This window comes from Homo sapiens, chromosome 8 (genome assembly GCF_000001405.40).
Source record: "Homo sapiens chromosome 8, GRCh38.p14 Primary Assembly".
NCBI lineage: Eukaryota > Metazoa > Chordata > Mammalia > Primates > Hominidae > Homo > Homo sapiens.
Genome location: NC_000008.11, coordinates 9,064,888 through 9,087,202, shown reverse-complemented (window position 1 = coordinate 9,087,202; position 22,315 = coordinate 9,064,888). Strand labels below are relative to the sequence as shown.

Sequence of the window (22,315 nt, the reverse complement as noted above, 5' to 3'; positions counted from 1 at the left end):
GCAAGGGGAGGGAGAGCATTAGGACAAATACCTGATGCATGTGGGGCTTAAAACCTAGATGATGGGTTGGTGGGTGCAGCAAACCACCATGGCACACATGAACCTATGTAACAAACCTGCACATTCTGCACATGTATCCTGGAACTTAAAGTAAAATTCAAAAAACTTAAAAAAAAAATAAGATGAGAAGGTGAGAAGGAGGTCAAAGTTACTCAGAATCCTACCGCCCAGCACTAACTAGTTTAAAACTAGTTAAAATTTTGAGAATTTTCCTGTGTACACTTATAGATTATAATGTAGGCATATAAATGGGTATACATAATAGTAAGTCCATTGCAGGAAAACATACAGAATAATGGTTTGACACTCTTGCTCAGTCAACAGTATGAGTATTTATCCAAGCCAATATGTATGTTTTTACAACATCATGTTAATGGCCACATAATATTCTATAATGTGTGTTTATCACAGTTAACCACTTTGATTAGGTAGGACATTTAGGCTGCTTTTCATTTTTTACTGTTATAAACAGTGCTGAAACCAACAGGCTTCTTGCTATAATATTGAACACATCCTTACTTATTTTGTTACAATGCATTCTTAAGAGTCAAACTATGGGTCAAACAGAATGAATTGGTTGGTCGGTTGCCTAGTTTTGAGACGGTATCACTGTGACCCAGGCTGGAGTGACGTGGCGTGATCTCAGCTTGCTGCAGCCTCGACCTCCCTGGCTCAAGAGATCCTCCCACCTCAGCCTCCAGAGTAGCTGGGACTACATGTGCACATCACCACACCCATCTAGTTTTTGTATTTTTTGTAGAGACGGGGTTTTGCCATATTACCCAGGCTGGTCTCAAACTCCTGGGCTTAAGTTATCCTCCCACCTCAGTCTCCTGAGTAGCTGGGACCACAGGTGCAGGCCACCATGCCCAGCTAATTTTTGGTATTTTTGTAGCATTGGTGGTCTCACCATCTTGTCCAGGCTGGTCCTGAACTCCTGGGCTCAAGCAATTTGTCCACCTTGGCCTCCCAAAGTTCTGGGATTATAGGTGTGAGCCACCACACCTGGCCCGCTATCCCTGTTTTTTTAGCATTCATGGTAAATGCCGCAGTCTAGACAAACAAATTAGGACTTGAAAGAGGACGGGAGTTATTTCCTAATAGTAGGATAAAATTCTCTTTTCTGTGATTCCTCCTGGTTGCTCAAGAGATTATCTTCTAGATACACACAAACCAACACATGCATGCTTATGCACACACTTTAAAAAAAGCATCTTGATCATATAAGAGTTTGCTAAATTTGTCCTCAGCATGGAGACTGCCATTAACAAGTTAGAAAAAACCTGCTGTTCTGCGTCTCACAGACCTCAGCTAAGGAAAGACCACCATTTTATGGACACCAATCCCAACAGCTATACTTTGTTATAAATTAGCGTCACATATTCCTGTTTAATTCTTATTGACTCCTCCTCTAACTTTTACTGTCTCATCACTTAGAGTGAATCTAAATTAGGGGCCCTGAACTTTCTCTGTTAAGGGCCAGATAGTAAATACTGTAGGCTTTGTGGGCCATTACAGTCTTTATCACAACCACGACACTCTACAAGTTTAGTACACAAGCAGAGAGAGGCAATACATAAATGAATGAGTGTGGCTGTGTTCCAGTAAAAATTTATTTATAAAAAAAGATGGTAGGGCCGGGCGCGGTGGCTCAGGCCTGTAATCCCAGCACTTTGGGAGGCTGAGGCAGGTGATTACTTGAGGTCAGGGGTTCAAGACCAGCCTGGCCAACATGGTGAAACTCTGTCCCTACTAAAAATACAAAAATTAGCCAGGCATGGAAGTATAAGCCTGTAATCTCATCTCCTTGGGAGGCTGAAGCAGGAGAATCACTTGAACCCAGGAGGCAGAGTTTGCAGTAAGTCGAGACCATGTCATTGCACTCCAGCCTGGGTGACAGAGCAAGACTCAGTCTCAAAACAACAACAACAGCAACAAACAAACAAAAACAGAAAGAAAAACAAAAAAAGCGGTGGGCACAGAATGTAGCCCTCAGGCTGGAATTTGCTGATGTAAATCACCTAGGGTTTGTTACAAAGCAGATTGGTAGGCCCCACCCCCAAATTTCTGATTCATGAGGTCTTGGGAATAGGTCCAAGAATCTGAATTTATAGAAGTTTCTAGGTGATGTTGATGCTGTTGGTTGGTGGGCTGGAGGGGGATGCAGGGGGGATTACATTTTGGAAACGACTGCTATAAGGTGGTCCCATAAACCCATACTTAATAAATCATCATATTCATACAAATCACAACATTTTTCTCCTGAGCGACTGAAGTGCTTGTGTACACCTCTCCACTTCAGCTTCTTCAGAAGGTTAGAATGATCAGCTTTTGTATCAGTCCAGCTATCTGGTAAAAGTCAGTGGAATCTCTCTAGCTAGTGTGTAAAGGAAGGGCTTTATTAATGTAGTTAGGGTACTCACAAACTCCTTGGAAAAAGAGGGAGGAATATTTTCCTGGGTCATCTTCCAGGAGCAGCCCCCAGAATGCCATTGCAGAGCTGACCTGATGGCATGCACCCAACCCCTCCCGCTTCCTCCAAGCCCGAGTCCTAGTCAAAATCTTGCAGCAAGAAGGTCTGACTTTCCAAACTGAAGTTGAGTGTCTGAGCTGTGGAGTTAAGGGAGGCTGGAAAATGCAAATTTGGGGATTTGATATCGGGAAGGCAGGCAACTACACAATGATAAACGTGGGGCAACCAATGTTCAGGTTTAGGGCAGCCACTGTCCATACAATTCCACTACGGGCAAAGAAAAGGTACAGTGAGAAGTAGAAAGTTACAAAGCAATAAAGTCCAGCTCTCTGGAATTCATTTCAAAATAATGTAGTTGGAATGGACAAAAATGTGGTGGAATAGATGAGGCGGTATTCTTTGAGACAGGGTCTCAATCTCACTGTTTCCCAGGCTGGAAAGCAGTAATGCCACGAAAGCTCACTGCTGCAACCTCCGACTCCTAGGCTCAGGTGATCCTCCTGCCTCAGCCTCCCAAGTAGCTGGGACTACAGGTGCACACCACCACACCAGGCTAAATCTAAAAAAAAAAATTTTAGGCTGGGCACGGCGGCTCACGCCTGTAATCCCAGCATTTTGGGAGGCCGAGGCGGGTTGATCATGAGGTCAGGAGATCGAGACCATCCTGGCTAACACGGTGAAACCCCGTCTCTACTAAAAATACAAAAAATTAGCCGGGCATGGTGGCAGGTGCCTATAGTCCCAGCTACTCAGGAGGCTGAGGCTGGAGAATGGCGTGAACCCAGGAGGCGGAGTTTGCAGTGAGCCAAGATCACACCACTGCACTCCAGCCTGGGCTACAGAGCGAGACTCTGTCTCAAAAAAAAAGAAAAAAAAATCATAGAGACAGGGTCTTGCTTTGTTGTCCTGGCTGGTCTTGAACTCCTGGATTCAAGCAATTCTCCCACCTCAGCCTCCCAAAGTGCTGGGATTACAGGCATGAACCACTGTGCCAAGCATGAAGCAGTATTCTTCCCCCCCGCTTTTTTTTTTTAACATGGACCATGCAAAACTCTGTATCATTTCAATTTTAGTATATGTGCTGCCAAAGTGAGCATCATGAGGCAGTATTGATTATGAGTTGATGATTGCTAAGGCTGGATACTGAGTACAAGGTGGTTCATCGCACTGTTCTCTCTTCTTTGGTATATGTTTAAATTTTTCCTTAATAAAGAGATAAAAGTTTATAAGGCATCGAAAGCAGAAAGAAAAAGAATGGAGATAAACATCAATTTTTGACCCCTAGATGGTATGCTTTCTCTTGTTACGGTATGCTTTCTTTAGGGGGCAGATACCATGTAATAAGAGATCTTTGGATGGAAGTTACCGTCAGAGCACAGCCATTGTTTTAGCAACATTCCAAAAGGAATAAAAGAAGTAATATTTTTCACTGAAAGTAGATCAAGATAAGGGATTATTGCCACAGTCATTGACTTTGCTTCCCCCTGACAAATGCACAGTGACCACTTGTTACATTCAATGGAGCGATAAAAGCTCTGTTTGGCTGGGCTTTTCTAGGGTTATCAGCAAATAAAAAATGCAGGGCCCCAGTTAAAATTAAATTTCAGATAAATAGCAAATACATTTTTTTAGTATACTTATGTCCCATGCAATATTGAGGAAATGCCTATGTTAAAAATTTATTTGTTGTTTACCTGAAGTTCACACTAAGGTAGATATTCCATATTTTATCTGGTAACCCTACTTTTATGACTTACAAAATTTAGGATATTCCATCATCCCCACTTTTCTCCAATGCATTCCATGTCTTAGTTCACCCTGAACTGACTAGACCGGACTCTTGCTATTATGACTCTTCGGGCATCTCATCATTCACTTTCTCTATGTTTCTAGAAAGACTTTCTCCTAGACGTTAGATAGGTTCAAGGGTGGACTTTCTGTCCGACCTTCTGGCCCCTGAAGGGAAATGGGGAAGGAGAGAATCCATTTGCCTAAGTGTTCCCAAGCAGGTGCCTACTTTCTAAGATGAGGAGCCCAGATGTAGGTCCTCATCCATTTCTTTCAATATCCTTTCAACACAGCAGAGATTAAGACCCCCAAGAAGTACAGATCATTCCTGCTGTTGCATCTTTTACACAGATATGGACTTCAAAGGAAACAAAGGAAGAATGATTTCATGCCAGAAAGCAGGAGATACCTTCTCATCCAGCTTAACTCTCATTTTGTGAATGTCATTTTCAGAATATTAACACCAGATGATCAGGTTTCCATGGCAGAGAAGCCCTTCTGTCTTTTCCTGCCTACTGGTGACTTGGCAACTCATTAGCATGTCTACTGGACGTGAGCCAGAGGAAGGAAGTGATAAAACACCATGAGTCAACATGTTACTTGCCAGAAGTTCTGGTAAAAGGAGTAAGAGGAAAACAAGAAAAACAAAGAAAACAAGAGTCTTAGGACATTGTGAGGGTCTCCATTCTCCTTCCCCTCTAAACCAGGCTCATAGTGGACCTCACCTGATGGAAGGTTCTAGAAAGAGACTAAACTTCACTTCCTGGAGTCGTAAGAAATATCTGCCATTCATGCTTTCCATTCTACTCTGAGGTTAAACAAATATTAAGAGTTCTAATGGGGTGGGGGGACACAGTGACTTTAAAAGTTGGCTGCAGGGTCCAGATGGACTAAGATGAAGGCAGAATTCTTCATACAGAGAGAACAACTTTTGCTCAGAAAAACAATATTAATGGGTTTATTTGGTCTTCCAGTGCAGGCTAATGAGAAGTCTAGACATAGAATAATTAAATTGCTTATTTTTCATAAGAAATGGGAGTTGTGGGGGTTCCCTCTCTTGGCTTTGGAGCACCCCTCCCTTTGTCTCTGTACAGGGGAGCTTCTTTCTTTCTTCCCCCTTCTTTCTTGCCTATTAAACTCCCTGCTCCTTAAAACAAACAAACAAACAAACAAACAAAAACCAAAAAAAAACAAAAACAAAAGAAGAAGAAGAGGAAAGGAAGAAATGGGAGTTGTTTTAAGTGTTCCCTTTAGGTAGGGAAGACAAGAATTCTGAGAGCCATAGAAAGAAAGAGAGTGAAGAAATGGGTAGCAGAGGGGAAGAGGGATCCCAGGGAACATATCAGGGGAAGGATGGCCGGAGAGAAAATGGCTGAGCTGGCAATGCCTGAGGGATTCCAGCATCCACTTTAAAAAAATAATAATTTATTGTGGGAAATTTCAAGTATGTACAAAAGTAACCAGACTAGTATAAAGAACCTCAATGCACCCTTGGCAGCTTCAACAATTATTAATGCACAGCCAATCTTGTTTCATCTAAAATGCCCCACTCACTCACCTTTCTCCCATTAATTATCTTGAAAGAATCTCCAGTGATATTGTTTGGCTCTGTGTCCCCACCCAAATCTCATCACAAATTGTAATCCCCATGTGTCAACAGAGGGTCCTGGTGGGAGGTGATTGGATCACATGGGTGGTTTCCTTCAGGCTGTTCTCATGATAGTAAGTGGGTTCTCAAGAGATCTGATGGTCTTTATAAATGACAGTTGTCCCTGCTTTCTCTCTCACCTGCTGCCATGTAAGACGTGCCTTGCTTCCCCTTCACCTTCCACCATGATTGTTAAGTTTCCTGAGGCCTCCCCAGCCATGAGGAACTGTGAGTCAATTAAACCTTTTTTGTTTATAAATTACCCAGTCTCAAGTAGTATCCTTATAGCAGTGTGAGACTGGACTAATAAATCCAGATAGCATATTTTGTCAGTGAACATTTCAGTATAGCATTAAATCTTAAGTAGTAGCCAATTCTGGGCTGTGCTGTCTGCCCCATTCTTTGCACCGCTGCCCTCCACCCCCCATTTAGCTGATATCTGCACTAAATGCTTGTTCCTGCAGGAGCCGAGAGAGTGGTGCCTTGGGGGAGGGGCAAATGAAGAAGTGGCCAAGGTCCACACTGGTGACGATTCCACACTCAGAGCTCTGTGCTGCTAGAACCCAAAGACACGTCTAGAAAACAAGAGACAATGGGGAATAAGGCAATAGCAAGGTGGAACGGGTGAACGTGAACCTTGTGAAAACCTGCAGGAAAATCAGGGCAGGGGTGCTGCACTTCACAAAGGTGTGCAGTGTGGCCTCAGGAACTGGAGAAGTGTCAGGGCCTCTCTGCCTCATCTCCTCTAGGCAGCCTAGCATGTGTGCTGTTCACGTCTCTGTCTGCTAACTGGTTCTTACTGCCAGGCTGCAAGGAGAAATGTCACTGTCACTCAGAGGGCAGACTCATCACAAGCCATCCTGTCAGGACATCACATGAACATGGACAACAGAGGCTCCTAGACACTAGCAGGGCACATCTAGTCAGGCTACTTGGGTTATACAGTTGAGAAAATAAATGGACTTTGATCTGAGGAATGCAAGTCCTCTTAAATTATCAGGCCCAGGGAGACATTAAAATGAGACAGCAATCACGTCCTACTCCCCTCTTAAAACTGCTTTCTATTACCACAAGTCGCTGTAAAATAACCTAATAATGCCACATCAAACACTATAACCACACCCTATAGCCTAACAATGTACAGCCAATCACTAATCAGTGTTATTCCTGTAAGCCAGCTCCTGACAAACAACTTTGTATCAGCCTACTCCCTGTCACTCAAACTTTTTTTTTTTTTTTTTTGTCTTTAAAAACCTGCTTGTGGGCCAAGCATAGTGGCTTACACCTGTAATCACAGCACTTTGGGAGGCCAAGGCTGGAGGACTGCTGGAGCCTAGGTGTTCAAGACCAGCCTGGGCAACATGGCAAAACCTCGTGTCTACAAAAAATACAAAAATTACCCAGGCCTGGTGGTGTGCACCTATAGTCTTAGCTCCTCTAGAGGCTGAGGTGGGAGGATCATCTGAGCCTGGGGAGGTCAAGGCTGCAGTGAGCCGTGATCCACTGCACTCCAGCCTGGATGACAGTGAGACCCTGTCTCAAAAAACAAACAAACCTGCTCGTAACAAAGATCGAATGGAATTCATATCCAAGGCTACCTGGGGCTGAGTCTTCCCAGCAGCTGTCCTCACTTCGGCTAAACTATTCCAGTTATATTTTAGGCCTCAGCTTCTTTCTTTTAGATCGACACAGTCATTTGAACTTTAGCAAGCTCCTCTTTTTTGCTAGCCCATTCTGGACACATTTTAAATGAGAGTCACAACCAACATTTTTGCATTATTTAAAATAGCTTCAAGAAACCAGGAACCCTTCACATGTATTTGTTTTCTTCTTTAGAACAATGCATTTGTTTAGGGAAAATGAAAACGGTCTATAGCTGAACTCATGTTAGTGTTTTCCGGAATCAAATGCTCACAGGAACTCAAAGCTCTTCTCCGGAGATCAGGGCTTACCCTTGCCTTCAGTGCTTCATCTTCTGCTCTCAACATCTGCTATTCCTCCCCATTGTTCCACCCTTTTACCAAAGGCCTGCTGTCAGCAATTTTCAGTAAATAGCCTTTTTTACAAAAGTGTCATTTCTTTCTCATATTAAAATTCCCTAATAAATCTTTTTTCCCCTCCCTATGAGTTTTTCTGACACCCATAAAGAATTTTCCTTTCAACATCCTGTCTTCTTGCCTTCTCCACTCAAAGCTTCACTTGACACCTGCCTTCCAGGTAAGACAACACCCCTTAGAGCTCATAATCTTGCCAGGTTAGTCTTTACATTTTTTTTATCCTGATAAAATCTTTGCTCACTCAGCACTAGTAGCGATTCTCTCCTCTGAGAATTGAGGTTTGTGTACTTGTTAATGATCCCATAATGCCCCTGTAGTCTCTGTAGGACAAGGGCCCCACAAAAACAAAAGAAGAGAAAAAAGATAATCTTCTCTTACAGTTTTGGTTCTCTGACTTTGAGCATGCAGCAGATACCTGGAAGGCTTTGTTGTAACAAAGTCTGCTGGACCCCACCCTGGAGTCACTGATTCAGCAGGTCTGGGTGGACCTGAGAATATGCATTTATATGCACAGATGAAAATGACTTGGTCTCTGGCTTCCACAAGGCTGCAGTCTAATGGATAAAACCCTCTTTTGATCTGGGTAGCACTTCAGAATTTGAAAATCTCTGTCATATTGATTAGACTTAAAAAACACCCTCACAACAGTGTGAGGGGAAGCAGAGTCTGCACTTTGGGTTAAAAAACTTGAGTTTGAATTCCAACCTTACCAAGTATTAGCTCTATGGTTATGGTTAAGTCGCTTAAACTCTCAAAACCTGAGTTATCTGTGAAATGGGAATACTACTCTCCCAGGGAGGTAATACTTGTGTTTGTAAAAATACTGTATGAGCTAAAAAAAAAAAAGTGCTATACAGATACCTAATTAGAAAAAACACAGGGCGGTAGGGCAGGTGTGGTGGCTCACACTTGTATTCCCAGCATTTTGGAAGGCCAAAGTGGGTGGATTGCTTGAGGTCAGCAGTTCAGGACCAGCCTGACCAACATGGTGAAACCTTGTCTCTACTAAAAATACAAAAATTAGCCAGGCGTGGTGGCGCACGCATGTCGTCCCAGCTACTCGGGAGGCTGAGGCGGGAGAATCACTTGAACCCAGGAGGTGGAGGTTGCAGTGAGCCGAGATCACTCCACTGCATTCCAGCCTGGCTGACAAAGCGAGACTCTGTCTCAAAAGAAAAAGAAAAAAGAAAAAAAGATAGGCTGGATCAGTGTCACCAAGACCATGAGAGTATTCTGGGAACACAGGAAGAAAGCAGCGCATTCCCCTGGCAGAAAGAAAGGTTGGATGGGGTTGGTGTTGGGGATCAGAAAAAAATTCCCCAAATATGCTGCTTTGGACCTCAAACAGAGAGTACCTGCGGAGGGGCAAACGCAGAGAAGAGCTTTCTCTAGTCCTCTCTTATCTGACTAAAGGGGAGTTCCTCCAGAGGAATGCAATCATCAGCCAGGGAAGCTTAACTCAGGAAAATAGACTAAAGGTCTGACCTCTTGCTCAGAGAGACTTTTACCATAGGCTACCAATGTATTCCTCTGAGGTCTGCTGCCTGAGACACTTTCTCTGCATTATAAGCAGATAAAGCAGCCTTTGTTCACAGTGCATTTCTGCCCCTCTGTCTCCCACATCTCATCACCACCACCCTCCAGGAGCCCCCAGCCCCTATTTTTTTTCTGTGGGGTATAAAAGCGTCAGTCAGCTGGTCCTCCTCTGAGTCACAGTTTGTGCGGCTCCTGTGCACATAGGCACATGATAAATTTGTATGCCTTTTCTCCTGTTAACCTGTCTATTGTCAGTTTCTTCCAGGGACTCAAATTATTGAACCTTCAGAAGGTAAAAGGAAAGTTCCCTTTGCCTCTACATAGGTTTCATGAAACAGGTGGAATTTTTGGTGGGCCCTGAAGGTTTTCAACAGGCAGGGAATTAAGCAGGGAAGGAATGTGGCAGGGAAATGCATGTCACATTTAAGAACTGGAGAACATGAGAAAATTATTAATCTGATGATATGGCTGGAAAAGAAGTGTAAAACCACAGAAAGCTTTGAATACCAGGAAAAGGAGTTTCAGCATACTTCAGTAGGTAATGGGTAGCTAATAAACATTCTGACCAGCAGATAAGTAACACTGGCATGCGTATGAGGTACATTGGAAGGGGAAGAGCATGGAGGCAGCGAAAGCTGTGAAGTCCACATTCTTTAACAGCTATCTCTACCTCACCTTTGGTTTTATTCCCATGTCCTCACCTTCCACTGGTGTGGCCTTATAATAAATCTCTATCTTCTAAATCATCAACTCTGCCCCAGAGAGCTCCTTCAAAGGTGGGGCAGCTCTCCTGTGGTCCTAGCCCTGCCTTCTGCAGCACTGCAGGAGAACACACATCCCCGCTTCCCCCTAAAGATTCTTGGCAGCCCTCCTGTCCTCATTCAGATTTCTCTTCTTGTTAAATATGCCCAGTTTTTCAGCCATTTCTCACTGAAGTGGCTTTTCCACCATTCTAGTTACCCTTCTCTGGATATTATGTAGTTTCTCCCACAGAAAGAGAAGCACATGGTATTACCAAAGGCAATGGATAATTTAAAGAAACAAACTCTTGATGGGCCAATAAGAACTTAATCCCCCACCCACCTCTTTTCCTTACTGGGTAACTTTATTGGGAGTACTTGAGAGAAAGTCAAGTTCAAGGCCCAGATGAGTTCTCACTTGTCTATGGTATCATTTACATGTTGGCACCTTGGTCATATTTAAATCCTTCATCTCATTCTGACTTGGGTTTGCTTTGACTTACAGATGAACCCTAGATGTTGTATATCTTTCCTTTAGGGAATTTTATGGATGCCAGTCCTGTAATTTATACCCTCTCTTCTGTACCGTAGTTTTAGGGGACAAAACTGTGTATACATGGCTTGCTTGTATTTTTTCCTTCAGATTTTCTTTTTTCTGGCTGGGCACAGTGGCTCACACCTGTAATCCCAACACTTTGGGAGGCCGAGGTAGGAGGACCACTTGAGCCCAGGGGTTTGAGACCAGCTTGGGCAATAAGTGAGCCCTCGTCTCTACAAAACAACAACAGCAGCAAAAATTAGCTGGGCATGGAGGAATACACTCATAGTCCCAAGCTACTTGGGAGGCTGAGGCAGGAGGATCACTTGGACCCAGGAGATTGAGGCTGCAGTGAGCCATGATTGCATGATTGTGCCACTGCACTCCAGCCTGGGTGACACAATGAGACCCTGTCTCCAAAAAAAAGCCAAGTGCAGTGACTTACCCCTGTAATCGCAACACTTTGAGAGGCTGAGGCAGGAGGATGGCTTGAGCCCAAGAGTTCAAAACCAGCCTGGGCATATGGCAAGACCTTGTCTCTATAAAAAATAATAAATAAAAAATTTTTTAAGATTATTTTTCCCTTTCACTGTAATAGTAAACCTAATAGTTAACCTCTGGGTGATCATTACATTTTATTTCTTCAGTTCATGTTCATTTTCCCTGAGCCTGAAGGGTTAACCTGTCTGTGGTTGATGTGTGCACACCGTGGGGATTCTTTGTGGCTTTCCTAAGCCCCCTGTAAGTCTCTTTAGAAGCAACAACAACAACAAAATGCATGGCTAATAGATTTCCACTTCTAATAATAGGGTCAGTGCTATTCCATGTAAAGACCGTGTTCATAATGAAAATAAAGCATTGCAAAAAAAAAAAAGGCATGTTCAGCATGTGATATTAACCTAATGTTTACATGGAGGCTCTCAAAAGTGAATGTCTTTAGCTGTGTTCTTATTATTGTACACAAACTCCTCGGTAATCTCTCATCAGTCTCCAAACCCTGAAAATATTTCCCAATACATGTCTCCCTCATTTCCTCATAGTATATAACACATGTATCCAAGGAAAACTAAGGAGAGACTGGGTTTTCGCTTTGTGTGGGAACGCATTTCACCTTGCTTGCAAAACTGAAAGGTCTGTCTGGGCTCAGCTGATAAGATGTTTTGGTTTGATAAGACTTTTCTTCTGTGTTGCTTGGTGTGGAGACATAGTCAGATTCATTTAGAAAACATTTTTTATTGACTGTGACTCATTAGAAAGAATGTCATGTGCTGGCATTTCATCACCGAACAGGGAATCTTGGCCATATAGGGCCTTTGGCTCAGATACGATTCAGGAAAGGAATAATGGGCTTCCACGGGACCAGAGGAATGCAAGTAAACACGTGGTGCCCGGCGCTCTTCTGTGTCACCTCACTGTGGCGCTGGTGGGGGCAGGCTTGCTCTTGTGACACTGAAGATTAAGACCACACCAGACCACACCAGGAGATACTGCTTTTCCCTTAGAAGGACTCACAACCTAAGAGGACGATGTGCTCTATTAATTAAGGTTTTAGGAATTTAGAAATTTTTAAAAAGGAAATATGACAGGAAGTTCCCATATAAATGCAGGCACAATAAATATAAAGTACTGGCTGGGCGCAGTGGCTCACGCCTGTAACCCCAGCAACTTTGGAAGCCCAAGACGGGAGGATCACTTGAGTCCAGGAGTTTGAGACCAGCCTGGGCAACAAAGTGAGACCTCAGCTCTACAAAAAATTAGCTGGGCATAATAGTATATACCTGTAGTCTCAGCTACTCAGGAGACTGAGGCCAGAGAATTGCTTGAGCCCAGGAGGTCAAGGCTGCAGTGAGCCATGTTCTTGCCACTGCACTCCAGCCTGGGTGACAGAGCAAGACCTTGTCTCAAAAATAAAAACTTAAATTTAAATTTAAAAATATGGATCAGGTGCAGTGGTTCATGCCTGTAATCCCAGCATTTTGGGAGGCTGAGGAGGGCAGATCACTTGAGGTCAGGAGTTCAAGGTCAGGAGTTCAAGTCCAGCCTGGCCAACATGGTGAAACTCTGTCTCTACTGAAAAAAAAAAAATTAGCCAGGCATGGTGGCGGGTGCCTGTAATCCAGGCTACTCGGGAAGCTGAGGCAGGAGAATCACTTGAACCTGGGAGGCGGAGGTTGCAGTGAGCCGAGATTGCACCACCATACTCCAGTATGGGCAACAGAGCAAGACCATGTCTCAAAAAAACAAAAACGAAAAAATAACACACACAAAAAAGTATGGCTGGGTGCGGTGGCTTATACACCTGTAATCCCAGCATTTTGGGAGGCCAAGGCAGGAAGATTGCTTGAGCCTGCGAGTTCAAGACCAGTTTGGGCAACATAGCAAGACCTCCTCTGTAAGGATAAAAATTAAAAAATAAATTTTAAAAATAATAAAATTTTTGTAAAGTACAATGTTTACTTAGTCTTTTATAAGGTATTTTATAGGGTTTGACTTTTTTAAGAAGCTAGTTGTGAATAAGTAAAAGACCCTAAACAGAAGGTGTACTGGATTCTATGTAGTTTCATGTCAGTCCTTAGAGTCCTGATTGCATAGAGAAAGATTAATTGAAATAGTTTAAGCCTGTTTAAGAAATAAGAGGCTTTCTAATATCAGAAGAATATAATTATTTCATACCAGAAGCATATAATTATTTCATACCAGAAGAATATAATTTTTCAGCGACATTTTAAAATTATTTTTCTCCCTCCTGCACACTGATTCAGCAACATTTTTTAAAGCCTGAGTTAATGCCTCTTCAAAACAATATTTGAATATGGAATGGTTAAAAATTGAACTGGAAAACTCACCAAAATTCTACCTGTTATTTTATGAAAATCTTACTTCACTGATCTCCTTTACAATGCTCTATTTGCTAACCTGTCCATCGGTAACCTCCCCCCAGACACCCCCAACTGTATCTTCTCTCACGCTTACCCTTCTTGGAAGTATTGGGGATCATAAGTTGAGATACTTTACTAAGAGTAGACAATATCCTTCCATAAAGAAGTCTCCTCTTCAATAACAAATAGTGTCTTGCATGTTCGGGACGATGTGACAGATTAATGCTACTATGTGGTGGTTAAGATACTGCCTTCTGCAAAGATAAATAATGTTGATTCACTGCGCTTCCAAAATCAAGGACAAAGCCGAAGGCATGAGGCCAGGTGATAAAGTTTATGGCTGAGAAGGCAACCAAGATTCAAACTGACTGACAGCAGAAGCCAGATGAAGGATTATGCATTTGTTCCCTGATGAGTGTGGTGAATAAAAATAAAAAAATCCTGAAGGCCAGCAGAGTAGAAGAGGGGTGTAAATTAAAGAAAACCACAGAGTGAAAATACAGTGAGCAGCTAGACCACAAAATGTTTTTGTATTTCAGAGGAGGCCGAAAGACGCATCCCGGCAGGTGTTGCTGAAGGAAGGGGTGCAAGACTGAGGAGGTCCTCAAGACTAAGTCAAGACTTGCAGTTCACCCGAGCACACTCGGTGCTGACCCTGACCCTGACCCTCTGCTTCTCTCTCTGGGGCTGCTTCTGTCGGGAGTGGGGTGGGGGGTCACTCTGTTCCTTAGCACTGTGGCAGAGCACATGTCAAGATGAAGCTCTGGTGAAGAATTGATCAAAAATAGTGGCGGAGTGAGATGGAGATTTAAATCAAAGGGCTGATTTATGAAGGCTTCAAAGATTTTTTTTTTTTAAAGAAAGAACATAGATTAGTTGTTTCTGAGGGCTGGAGGGGACAGAGATAGAGGCGGCGACGGAAGGATCCTTCAGGTTTCTTCTTGAGGTGATTAAACGTTCTGAAATCGCGTGTTACAGCTCTTTTGGAATTTGTCTAGCAGGTTTTCTGGTTTTCACTGCAAAACCCCACAGTAAAAAACAGAAAGAAAAAATTATCCTAAAATTGGCTGTGGTAATGGTTGCGCATATGCTGTGAATAGGCTTCCAAATATTGAAATGTCCACTTCAAATGAGTGAACTGTATGGTATGTGAATTATATATCAATAAAGCTTTTCAAAATAATAACAAAAACCTTCAGGCCACTAGAAAGGACCGTCAATGTGGTATGAAAACAAGACTCAACACGGCAACCTCACAGGGCTATGAGGTAAAACCAAAGGACACTGATCACCCAAAAGGAAAGCTATTGTCAAACGTTAGGGAAAGAACTACAGGAAAACTAAATCATGGTATTCTGTATTTCATTTCCACTTAGGAGAATTCTGCCTCTCTGTCATTTTTGCGTGTGTGTACGTGTGTGACAGGGTCTTGCTCTGTCACCCAGGCTGGAATGCAGTGGTGCAATCTCCACTCACTGCAGCCTCGACCTCCCAGGTTCAAATGATTCTCCCACCTCAGCCTCCCAAATAGGCGGGACTACAGGCACGCACCACCACGCTTGCTAATTTTGTTTGTCTTTTGTAGAGACGAGGTCTCACTATGTTGCTCAAGCTGGTCTTGAACTCCTGGATTCAAGCAGTCCTCCCACCTTGGTCTCCCAAAATGCTGGGATTACAGGCATGAGCCACTGCACCCAGTCTCTCTCTGTCATTCTATTTCCAAAGTTGAATCACCTTGCTCTGTTGGAGCTCAAAAACCAAAGGTGTGATGAAGGTGCTACAGTTTGAACTCTTTAAAGGAAGGCATCGGCCATATAGAGTGAGCCACAGGGGAGGACTTCTCCCGTTTCCCTGTAGAATGGGTTACCAAGTTAAAGGAGTCAATTATCCCGTCCTATCTGGAGAAAGCATTCCTCAGATGAATAAACTGGAAACGGAAAACTGGAGAAGGTGTTTTTATTTCTTTTCGTAATTAGGACATCATTTACAAGACTTATATTTCTTGGATGTTCCCCAAATTTTTCACATAGAGCTGGCATTACTAGAAACTTAAATACTTGTTGCTTTTAATTATATTGAATTCCACCGTGGGAGCTTAAAGGCTAGGCATTTTGTGATGGGTGTGCATTCTACTCCCAAATGTAATAACTAGAATAGAAATTCCAGAAAAGGAAAAGTATTTATCAAACACTGAAGCTGCTTTGAGAAATGGCTTTGTCAAGTTAACTGGTTATCATTAGATTTATTACAGTGGTTAGGAAAAACTGACCTCGTAGATGTCTGTCTATAACAATGCAATCATCTGCTTAGAATAATGCCCCGCGTTAGACAGCTGTAAACACAAGAACTTTCCCTTGCGAGTTCAATAATCTTAGCAACAGTTCTCTTTCCAAACAGGCCAAGAAAGATATGTTGCTTTGGGAAACTGGAAATCAACAGACCAAAACAGCCAGAAGAAATGGGTGGAGAGAAGATAGAGCCCGTTCACTCTGCAGTCTCCGCAGGGGTACAGAGTGATGGCAGCCATGGGTGCCCTTGTAAGTCTCTGTCCCAGCTCCCAACCCTGCCACCTGGGGCCACCACCATGATTCCCTGCCCGGCCCTGCACACATGGGCTGCAAAAATGCTGAGGAAAAAGGAGATTTCAAACTAATTCATCCCCAAGTTACAAACGTGGTTCATGGAGCTTTAGTAAAAATTATTTTTAAATTTTTACTTTGATCCACAGACATGCGACTTGAACCAGATTCTTTCAGACGCCAAATGTTCTCTTTCTGTGTGCATTTGCAAGGATGGACTCCACTGCGTAAGTGGACTAATTGAACCTTATGAGCAATGACTCCTGTGTGTGTTCATTAGGAATGTTCCGTGGGTGAATAAGTAGTTGGGAAATGAGTCAATCAATTTCTTCCTTTCTGTTCCATACTAGTAGTTCTGAACCTGCCAATGTATCCCAAATATAACTAGGTATCTTTAGAGTCCTTTTTGTTTTTCTTGAGACAAGGTCTTATTCTGTTGCCCAGGCTGGAGTTCAGTGGTGGGATCATAGCTCATTGCAGCCTTGAATTCCTGGGCTCAAGCCATCCTTTGGCCTCAGCCTCCCAAAGGGCTAGGATTATATGTGGGAGCCACCACACCCTGCTTCTTTAGACTACTCCATTTTTAGACATATATGTTATTTCTTTTTTATTTTTGTTATTTTTTAATAGTCTTTTTAGTTTTGGTTTGGTGTTTTGTTTTTTTTTTTGAGACAGCGTCTCACTCTCACCCAGGTTGGAGTGCAGTGGTGCAATCTCAGCTCACTGCAACCTCTGCCTCCCAGGTTCAAGTGATTCTCCTGCCTCAGCCTCCAGAGTAGCTGGGATTACAGGTGCCTGCCACCAAGCCCAGCTAGTTTTTGTATTTTTAGTAGAGGCAGGGTTTCACCATGTTAACCAGGCTAGTCTCAAACTCCTGACCTCAGGTGATCCGCCCACCTCAGCCTCCCAAAGTGCTGGGATTACAGGTATGAGCCACCTCCACCCAGCCATAATAGACTATTTAAAATTAAGCAAAACTAATCAATAATCAGAATGACTGGAGCGACTTTCTAAAACCTGCAAATTCCTCTGTTGACTTACAATAGTTAAAATACTCAGGGAGGAAATAATATGTTCAATAGTATAATCATTTCCTTCTCTATAATTCCTCCTGTTGCCACATTTGTAAAGTAATACTTTACTTTTTTTATTTACCTATTTATTTAATAATTTCAACTTTTATTCCAGATTCAGGGGGTACATGTGCCGGTTTGTTACATGTGTATATTGCACGATGCTGAGATACGAATGATCTTGTCACTTAGGTGGCAAGCATTAGAGTAATTTTCAAGTGCTATTTGAGTGAAAGCATTGTCTTCTATACTCTCATCTTGAGCAAAAGAAATCATTCTGATTGCATAACTTGTTTATACTTCTCAAAATACCTTCAAACATGTTTGATGCCCATAACTAAGAGAGGGTGATACAGTCCCCTTTGATCCATCCAGCATTGTCAGGGAAGATTACCAAGGAGGTACTGACATAATGGAATGTTACCACACCTTTTAAAAATCTGTTGGAATAAAAATCTTTCTAAAATACATTGCAACAAAGAAATGCAAATTAAAACATAAGTGCTTTTAAAAATTTTTCCTATCATATTAACAAGGATTTTAAAAACTATCATACCCAGCTTCAGAGAGGATTCAAGTGAAAAGATCCTCCTAGACATTCCTAATGGGATTGTGAATTCTGACATTTTTGGGAAGGTGATCTGAGAATATGGATCAAGATGTTCAAACCGTTAACCCCACAACCCTTTTGTCCTTTTAATAAATATTTAAAATGGCCGATGTGGTGGCTCATGCCTGTAATCCCAGCACTTTGCGAGGCTGAGGTGGGAGGACGGCTTGAGCCCAGGAGTTCGAGACCAGCCTGGGCCACACAGCGCGGCCCTCATCTCTATAAAAAATAAAAAGATTAGCCAAGCATGGTGGTGCACACCTGTAGTCCCAGCTACTAGGGAGGGCTGAGGCAAGAGGATTGCTTGAGCCTAGGGAGTCAACGCTGCAGTCAGCCATGACTGCACCACTGTACTCCAGCCTGGGTGGCAGAAAGAGACCCTGTCTCAAAAACCAATAATAAAATTTAAAAAATTTAAAAACAGTGCCAATCACTCTCTGGTCACTCAAGGTACGCAGGTGAACAACACAAGCCAGCTCTCTGCTCTCAGGAAGCTTACATTCTAATGAAGAGAGAGTAAGACAATACATATGTACACAGATAAAGAAAGAAGATAAACTCAGACACAATGCATCCTAGGAAGAGAAGCAAGCATGGATATGAGGACCCTAAAGGCGAGGGAGGAGGTTGCTTTGCTTGGTGCTCAATAAAGACCCCTATGGCAATTGGCCAGTGCTCCCACCAATCCAGCCTCCACTCAGCATTCATAAGACAGTCTCTAGCCAGGCGTCATGGCACACACCTGTACTTCTAGCTACTAGGGAGGCCAAGGCAGGAGGATCACTTGAGCCCAGAGGTTCTGGCCTGCAGCGAGCTATGATGCTGCCACTGCACTGCAGCTTGGGCAACAGAATGAGACTCTGTCTCCAAAAAGGAGAGAGAGAGAAAGAGAACCTCTACTAAAAGCAAACTATGAAACCCAAACTACTTTCCCCAAGGGCAGGAGAGCCACATGAGGTGCGAGGGAAGGTGTTGGGCGAGATTTCCAGAAACGCTTCTTTAAATCTGAGACAGTCTCAGGTCAATTGTATATAATACTATTTTAGATATATCTGAAAAAATTTTTGAATTTAAAAAGAAGTTAATTAAGGGCTAAGGAGAAAAGCAATTCTGGATTAGATGTTGCTCTGAAAATATATGTTCTCTGCTTCCTCCACTTTTTTAGCCATAAAGCTTTGAGCAAAATTGTTCAAGGTTTAGTGGAAACTTCTTGCTTGGGGGAAGGAGACTGTTGAGGAAAGAATGTTATATAATATTTGTGTGTGTATATACATATATGTGTGTGTGTGTGTGTGTGTATTTGTAGCATAACTCTCTGTGCTCATATGTATGGCAAAATTGTAGAAAATGTGAAAGAAGGAAAAGGAGGTAAAAAAACCTGCTGGGGCAGGAGTTTGTTGACTTGGGGACCTGTCCCAGTTCTGCTCAGACTAGCTGTGTAATCTTGAAATCATTCAGTTAATACCGTGGAACCCAGCTTCTTTAAAACTTGAGGAAATTGGACTGGATCATCTGTAAGGCCTTATCCATGTTATGGAAGGTCTTGTCACCTTTTTTTTTTTTTTTTTAGAAAGGTTCTCACTCTGTTGCTCAGCCTGGAGTGCAGTGGTGCGATCTTGGCTCACTGCAGCCTGGAGGTCCTGGGTGCAAGCGATCCTCTCACCTAAGTCTCCTAAGTAGCTAGGACAATAGGTGTATGCCACCATGCCCAGCTAATTTTTGCATCTTTTGTAGAGATGGGGTTTCTCTATGTTGCCCAGGCTAGGTCACCTTTCTTTTTTCCCTTCTACTATTGATATTGCACACACACACACACACACACACACACACACACACACATGCACACAGGTTAAAAATGAAATCCCATCATGACCTTTATAATAAACAAGTGCATAGAGCAGGAAAATTCCAGTCATAAAATAATGGACTCTTTATATCTAGAAAACTTAATACAGATTTCAGGCTGATACAGGAACGTGTATACAGTCTTTGAGTATAACATACTTCATGTGTATGAATGACGTACCCTGCAGCTAAATCAATAATGGGGGCTTATATTTGTATAGGTCTTTAGTGTTCCCAAAACGATTTTATGTCATATCACTTGCAATTTTGGAGACTCATGCGATTTTTAGAAATAGGTAGGGCAATGAGAATGATTTCTTTTTTCCTGAGGCTTAGAAGTGTAAAATGCCTTGGCCAGGTTTACACAGCAATAGGCAGCCGTCAAATCTTCTCCCAGTTCATGGGCGTTTATTCCCATCTGCCACATTGCAAGGTAGCTGGAACGACTGTCACCGTTCGTGCTTCCTCCACCCCTCACTCCACTGCAGCTCAGCTGAGGCCACTGAGAACATCAGAACAGTGAGGCAAGGCGATCACCAACTTTCCCAAAATAGAAGCCACCACAGAGACAAACCAGCCAGCTGTTTCCCTCTCAACTCACCCGCCTGTCACATTTTAGTCTCTGCAGTGGGGGCTGCCAGACCTCTTATTTCTTCCTTTCTTTTAAATTTCAGGTAAGAAAATAGAATACTTAAAATGTTAAGTATGTCCCTTCCTTTAAAAACAATGACCGGCACTCATAACTGAACATTCCTTGAATAACAAAATGTCCTACATCTTCACAAAATCATGCATCTGATTCCTTTCTGCCTGTCATTTGTCACCCTCCTTCACCGTGCCCAACAACCCAAAGGCCAGGTGAACACAAAATCAAATCACTGCCAGTGTTGGTGAGTTCAAAAGTCATCAGGTGCCCACTGGCCGCTCTGAAAAGCCATCTTTGCATTGTCCCCATTTTATTGGCAGAGTCCTCAAACTCTTGCTTTCTTCTTATCCAACACATGGGATCACCGGGGAGCCCGCTGTGTCACAGACATCCATCTGTGGACACCAACTCTGAGATGACCACCAACCACTTAAAGGAGAAGAAACAAGTTGTGCAGGTGGAGAAAGGGGAAGAGATGCCCCTGCTAGTGGGAACCCCAATGAAGAAAATGGGGAGATGAGGCTGACGATAAGGAGGACAAAGAAGAGGAAGAAGGTGGGGAGGAAGAGGAGGAGGAAGAAGGTGGAGGCAAGGAAGAGGGTGGAGATGAATGAAGAAGCTAGAGCCCCTGGTGGCAAACAGGGCACTGCAGATAGAGAAGATAGTGGTGTTGATATCGCAAAGCAGAAGATGAGGAGGATAGCCAGGCAGCAGAAAAGTCAAAGAAAAAAAAGGCGGCCGTGACCTATTCACCCTCCACTTCCCTTCTCATAAACTAGACATGGTCACCTTGGAGAGAGAGGCCCAGCCACTGCCGACAGCGCCACCTGCTGGTGACACACTCTCCACCACCCACCCAAAACCACAACATGAGTTTGCAACAGGAGAGGAAAAAGGAATCAAAACTTCCAAGGCCCTGCTTTTTATTTTTATTTTTTTAAGTAATTTTAAAAGGAGATTTGTTAGTATTTTTTAGTTTCCTTTTATATTTTTGCACGTATTGTCAGGAGTCAGCCTTTTTTTTTTTTTTTTTTTTGAGATGGAGTCTCGCTCTGTTGCCCAGGCTGGAGTGCAGTGCTGCGATCTCAGCTCACTGCAAGCTCCGCCTCCCGGGTTCATGCCATTTTCCTGCCTCAGCCTCCCGAGTAGCTGGGACTACAGGCGCCCCCCACTACGCCTGGCTAATTTTTTGTATTTTTAGTAGAGACGGCGTTTCACCACGTTAGCCAAGATGGTCTCGATCTCCTGACCTCGTGATCTGCCTGCCTCAGCCTCCCAAAGTGCTGGGATTACAGGTGTGAGCCACTGCGCCCAGCTGGCAGTCAGCCATTTTTAATGATCTCAGGTGATCAAACCAGCCTACTGAGCATCCTCTGCCTTACTTCTGACTTTACTTGTGGTGTGACCAAGTTCATCATCACCTCAAAGAACAAAAGAAACCTCGTAGAAAGAAGCAAAAACAACTAAACAATCTTATTCTGAGCATTCCAGTAACTTTTTTTGTACATGCACTTAGCTGTACTATAGATAGTTGGTGTCAGGCCTCTGAGCCCAAGCTAAGCCATCATATCCCCTGTGGCCTGCACGTACACATCCAGATGGCCGGTTCCTGCCTTAACTAATGACATTCCACCACAAAAGAAGTGAAAATGGCCTGTTCCTGCCTTAACTGATGACATTATCTTGTGAAATTCCTTCTCCTGGCTCATCCTGGCTCAAAAGCTCCCCTACTGAGCACCTTGTGACCCCCACTCCTTCCTGCCAGAGAACAACCCCGCTTTTTCCTTTACTTACCCAAATCCTATAAAACAGCCCCACCCCTGTCTCCCTTCGCTGACTCTCT

The 22,315-nt window shown here is 43.2% G+C and overlaps 1 protein-coding gene and 1 pseudogene across 2 annotated transcripts in view, besides 2 other annotated features; one reads left to right on the top strand and one right to left on the bottom strand.

The window, feature by feature from the left end:
* The window catches only part of ERI1 (exoribonuclease 1), a 97,208-nt gene that overhangs the window by 12,902 nt on the left and 61,991 nt on the right, over positions 1 to 22,315 (bottom strand). The window lies entirely within an intron of this gene.
* Positions 9,008 to 9,508: an enhancer, noted in NCBI's record as "NANOG-H3K27ac hESC enhancer chr8:8935205-8935705 (GRCh37/hg19 assembly coordinates)". NCBI's record gives its function as "activates a minimal SCP1, AML or CMV promoter by ChIP-STARR-seq in primed H9 embryonic stem cells {active_cell/tissue: H9 hESC(primed)}" and the evidence as "EXISTENCE:reporter gene assay evidence [ECO:0000049][PMID:30033119]".
* Positions 14,689 to 14,747, top strand: RNU7-55P (RNA, U7 small nuclear 55 pseudogene; annotated as a pseudogene).
* Positions 21,181 to 21,387: a silencer, noted in NCBI's record as "fragment chr8:8923326-8923532 (GRCh37/hg19 assembly coordinates)". NCBI's record gives its function as "represses an EF-1alpha promoter that drives an FKBP-Casp9 reporter gene in an ReSE screen in K562 erythroleukemia cells {active_cell/tissue: K562}" and the evidence as "EXISTENCE:reporter gene assay evidence [ECO:0000049][PMID:32094911]".